The sequence below is a fragment of the Homo sapiens genome, chromosome 2, assembly GCF_000001405.40.
Source record: "Homo sapiens chromosome 2, GRCh38.p14 Primary Assembly".
Classification (NCBI taxonomy): domain Eukaryota; kingdom Metazoa; phylum Chordata; class Mammalia; order Primates; family Hominidae; genus Homo; species Homo sapiens.
In genome coordinates, this window is record NC_000002.12 from 124,994,467 (window position 1) to 125,000,281 (window position 5,815).

The 5,815-nt window shown below is 38.7% G+C and overlaps 1 annotated feature.

Moving 5' to 3' along the window:
- Positions 681–1,642: an enhancer, noted in NCBI's record as "OCT4-NANOG hESC enhancer chr2:125752724-125753685 (GRCh37/hg19 assembly coordinates)". NCBI's record gives its function as "activates a minimal SCP1, AML or CMV promoter by ChIP-STARR-seq in primed H9 embryonic stem cells {active_cell/tissue: H9 hESC(primed)}" and the evidence as "EXISTENCE:reporter gene assay evidence [ECO:0000049][PMID:30033119]".

Here is a 5,815-nt window from a genome sequence, read left to right on the forward strand (position 1 = left end):
GTAGCCATTCTTTTGTTTCTTTACTTTCTCAATAAACTTACTTTCACTTTATGGACTCGCCGTATTTCTTTTTTGTGCGAGATCCAAGAACCCTCTCTTTGAATCTGGATCAGATCCCTTTCCAGTAACACTAGTGCCTGACAAATTAGCTATTGAAAAGTTGTTAATTTGGGATTTTTTTAAAGATAAATAATTAAAGCCATTTTTAAATGACTGGATATTGAATTGATTTTAAGTAATTAAAATTTTTAAAAAGGAATTAGCTGGAATGCTATAAAATAAGTCAGAGATGGTTATGTTTTAAAAAAAAATTTTAACAAATTAAAGTAAAGCAGACAGAGAAAAAAAGTGAGTAAGAAAGTTGTTTAAACGTCAGTGTACTTTAGTTTGTTGGGAATGAATGGTGCCTTTGCTGCTTTCTTCTTAGTAGCTTTCCTGCTATTCATTGAGGCCTGTGCTGAAGCTAAGACCCAGATACTTGAGATTGAAACCACTTTTGCAAAAAAACTGATGACAGTGAGAGAAATCTGACCTGACTCCATCTTGCTTCTTATCTCCAAGCCGTCCTTGTCCATTCCTGAGCATAGGCCAAGGTAACTATGGGAAGAATTTAAACATGGAGTTTGGAGTTGCTGAACTGAAGAAGCCTCAAGGTCTCTCTGACCTCATCCCTAACCCCCATCATCTCTCCAAAAGCACAGATGTTTATCTGCCTAAGATTTAGACCCACCAAGGAGAAAAATTGTTTTTTCTTCCTCTTCCTGTAAGACCAAAAATATAAACCACACCTGAATGGACCCTTTCACTAAATAGTATACAAGTTAATATCTATTCCCTGATCCACTTACTCTCCCTACTACTCCCCTCCACAAAATTCCACTTCTCATTGCTCCCGAAACCTGTTTTTCCAGGATGCTGTGTAAGCTTCTGAGCCACACTGAGGGGTGGTAATCATTCAGTGGATCTCCCCACATTTATGCAACCTCCCACTGGGTTCTTCTTGCCTGCTGCCCAGATGGAGATAATTTATCAAGGCAGGGGAATTGCAATAGAAAAAGTTTCATACATATAGACCTGGCTAAATGGGATACAGGAATTTTATTATTACTCAAATCCTCCTCCTCAAGAATTTGAAGGCAACGGTTTTTCAAAGATAGCTTGTGGCGGTGCGGGGGGTTGGTTAGGCAGTGGGTGCTTGTTGCTGACTGGTTGGGTTGCAATCATAGGGATGTGGGAAATGATCCTCATGCTTGCTGAGTCACCTCTGGATGGTGCCACAGGTGCAGTTGGTGGATCCAGGTGGAACCATTGTTCGTCAGATATGCAAAAAATCTGAAAAGACATCTCAAAAGGCCAATCTTAGGTTCTACAATGGTAATGTTTTCTGTAGAAGCAATTGGGGAAGTTGCATATTTTGCGACCTCCAGAGTAATGGCTGGTAACTGTTTATGTCTACACCATAGCCAAATTCAGTCTTCTCTTATCCTCCTATCCTTAGCCTAGTTGTCTCTCATTACCTTTACAAAGGCAGATGAGTTTTGAGGAAGGGCTGTTACCATTTAAACTATAAACTAAATGTCTCCCAAAGTTAACTGGGCCCAAGCCCTGGAATAACTAAGGACAGTTTGAAAAATAAAGGCAAGATAGGGGTTGGTTATATCTGATCTCTTTCACTGCGATAATTTTCTTGCTGTTACAGTTTTTGCAAAAGTGGTTCCATATACATATTAAATAAATTTGTATGCCTTTCCTCCAGTTAATCTGCCTTTTGAGAGTTGGTTTTTCAGTGCACCTTCAGGGGCAAGGGCCTTGGCCCCTACAATATCACACAATCTAATGGCAATAGATAATTCCTAAAAATGTTATAAGGGCTAAGGGAAAACTTCCCTTTCACCCTTTGAAAGTGTGCTGAAAATCAACTGAAAAAAAGGCAAATTGATAGAAAAGGCATACACTTTATTTTTTAACATGCACAGAAAGAAAAATGACATGATTACCTCAGCCCCCCAGTGGGGTACAGGAGTTTATATACCCTTTGTCCTAGAGTAGGGAGGATATAGGAATGTCAACAATTCTTTTGAAGGACAGTAAATGATGATTAAGGAGAATGGACAAGGGAGGCAGAAATTAACTTTTAAATGATTCTCTTTGGAATTTGAATGACCCAGAGGCAGGCATTATCTTGTGAAAAGGTTCATCTAAGTATGGTTGCATTCTTCAGTCTTCTTTTCTGCTGTAGATAATGAGAGTTCAGGGATGGCAGAGAAGGAAGTTGTGTTTCTTTTGGTAAGAAGCTTTCTTGGCCAGAAAAGGAAATTTCATAGAGATAGAGAGTTTCCCCTGTGCTCGAGGGGAGGAACAAGACAAGGTTAAAAGGACCTTGATTCTGAGGCTTATTTCTGAGGACTTTCAATTTTCAAAAGCATTCAACCTGTCTAAGCACCACATTTTGGAGAATTGTTTTCTGCACTACAACCATGTCTAAGACTTATATATGAATGAGAGTTTAATACTGGTAGTTCCTGGCCAAAGTTTTGCACTTGTAGGGATTGAAATCTAAGGAAATTTCAGGCAGATAAGTGTGTGAAGCTTTAGGCTACAGAAAGTTATGCTGTACTCACCTGATGGGTTCATCTTGCCTGCTTTTCAGAAAAGCCAGTGCACTGAGAACAGTGGTTTTCACAACAAAGAAAGATTTGAATAATCACAGGCACAGCTGAACAGAATGATGGGAGGAATTACTCAAATCAGCCTCCCCAAGAACTCAGAGGCTAGGGTTTTATGGATAGTTTGGTGGTCAGGGGTCTAGTGAATGGGTGCTATGATTGGTTGGGGATGAAATCATAGGGGTATGGAAAATGGTCATGTGTGCTGAGCAGCCACTAGGTGGAAAAAATAGGAATGGTTGAGGCTGAGCCATGACTCACAGGTCCAGGTGGGGTCAGTCACTTGGATGCAAATGTCTGAAAAACATCTCAAAAGACCAATCTTTGGTTCTGCAACAGGGATGTTACCTATAGGAGCAATTGGGAAAGTCACAAATTGACTTCTGGACACATGACTCTGGAGCAGTAAGGGATTATGGAAAAGCAAGCTATGGAACAATTGCTGATTATAATTTAACCATGCCTACATTTTAGCAGAATCAATGTCCCTCCATAATCCTAATCTCCTGGTCTTTCATTAGTTTTACAAAGGTGGTTAAGATATCTGACCAAGGTGAGGGTCAGTTTTAGGGTGGGACCATTATCATACTTGCTTCGAAGTTAAACTATAATATAAACTAAATTTCTCTCATTGTTAGTCGGGGTACAGCCAGGAATGAATGAGGACAGCCAACCTGTGAGGGTGGAAGCAGGATGGAATCAGCCATGCTAGACTTCTTTCTGTTGTAGTGTTTGCAAAGGCGGTTTCAATGTGATTTGAGTTGGCTTTTAGAATAGATGGGTAACTGGGAGTATCTTCAGTAAGGATTTAATGTGCTCCTGCCTTTTTGAGGACTCTTGTTCTCCCAGATTATTTAAAAGCAAAGCAAACCAGCAAAGGTAACAAACATACACAAAGCAAAGAAAAACACCTTAAAACCATAGCAATATTTGGGAGGCCGAGGCGGGTGGATCACCTGAGGTCAGGAGTTCGAGATCAGCCTGGCCAACATGGTGAAACCCTGTCTCTACTTAACATACAATAGAATTATCTCAGCGTAGTGGTGTATGTCTGTAATCCCAGCTACTCAGGATCCTGAGGCAAGAGAATCACTTGAACCTGGGAGGTGGAGGTTCCAGTGAGCCAAGATTTTGCAATTGTACTCCAGCCTGGACAACAGAGTGAGACTGTGTCTCAAAAAATAAAATAAAATAAAATAAAAATTAAGAAAAAAGAAAGAAAAAGCCATATCAACAAATAAATCTTACATTAAGCTCCTGTTATAACCTAGGGCATTTTCCAGAAAGACATTTAGTAGTTGAAAATGGCATAGATAATCTCTCCCTGTTTAAAATATGTACTGTAAAACTAAGGCTTTTTCATCTGAACTCATTTCCCTCAGGAACTCATCTTCTTCATACCTGGGAGAGGTTTTCGGCAGGACTAGAATGTCAATATCATTCTTTATTATACCTTTATTTTCTGTTCCACTGCTTTTTTTTTCTCTCCTCCAAATAGTTTATCTCCCTCTCATGATGTAGCTTTTAATGCTGCATTCAGTTTCCCAGTGTACTACCCCATTCTCCCTCATACTCTCTTGGCTAAGAATTAACTCAGTCGGGATCTGGTAGGACAGCTGCTTATTCTATTCCCAACATTCAGACACAGTCATCCTCTCTGCTCTAGGAGTTAAGCAGTACTTGTCTGGTTTCCATCATCCATAGCACCTTGACATGCCCTTTCAAATGCCTCTTTTTTTTCTCTCTCCTCCACCTGCAACTCATTAAGATAATTGACTTTTTTAATTTTTATTTTAGCTGTAACATAAATTTTACTCCTTAAAGAATGTGACTGCCTGACTGGTTTTAAATGATGTTAAGGTGAATGTAATGACAAGCACTCACAGTAGGAGAGGACATGGGGTGAATTGTGGGGGGTAGCAATTTCCATTTCAGTGAACAACATAGAATGGGCTTACCCTGAGGGAGTGACTTAGAATAGATACTCCCAAGCACCTCCTGAGAGATAGAGGTATGGGATACAGAAGAGAGAAGCAAAGAGAAGGTCATGGAATATCTGTTGTAGGGATGGAGAAAACTGCAATAACAAAAAGACCAACAATTGTATAAACGAGTGAAGGAAATACTAAGATTCTGGGGTCTTCACAACTAACTTTTGTGTCCTGGGTTTACTGCTTACTTGCTGTGTAATATTGAGCAAGGTCAGGGACTGTAGCTCAGGTTTTGGTGGGGACAGATGGTGGATGGGATGGAGGGTATAGGAGGTGAGTTTGTAGATCATGTGGAGGAACTCTGTAAGTTAAAATAGAATTTCGATTTTGTTAACCACAAAATAATCACTTTGTTAGAGGTACAGAGTATGTATATGATGAGTCAGAAAGGAATTAGAAAACAAATTAGTAGGTTAGTTAATTATAATCAGCAATTGGTTAAATTATAAGCAGCAATTTTTCCGTAGCTCGCTTTTCCGTAATCTGCTCCAGAGTAACAACCTAGGGGCCATAAGTAAGACAATAGCAGTGGTAGTAGCAGATATAGATAGATAGATAGATCGATAGATAGATAATAGATAGATAGAATTACATGTATATATAACTATATATGTAACTACATATATGTATGTATAACTATATATGTAACTGCATATATAGTTATATATGTTATATATAGTTACATATGTATTATACATAGGTCTATAATTATATATAGTTATATATTATATATACACTTAAATATATTTTATATGTAATTACATACAATTATATATATAATACATGTATATAAATATTGTTAAATGAAGTTTAGCTTAAAGCTGCCTCTTTACATATTTTAAAGATTCTTTATACATAGTGAACTGTACTCTAGCTGGATGTGTAGAACAGACTGCAACCTACTCTTGTGCCAATCACCAAGTTTTGGTCAGGCAGCCAACTGTTCAAACTAGGTTCACATGAGGCAAACTCTGAGCTGTAATGAATCTGGCTGTTTCTACACCTCATTTCTATTTTCCATACTCACTCTCTTTTTTTAACCATCCATACATCTTCCTCCACCACATGGCTATGCTGCAGCCTCTCTGAGCCTAATCTGGTTTGGGAGGATGTCCAATTTGCAAATCATTCTTTAGTCAATTCAACTCCTAAGTTCAA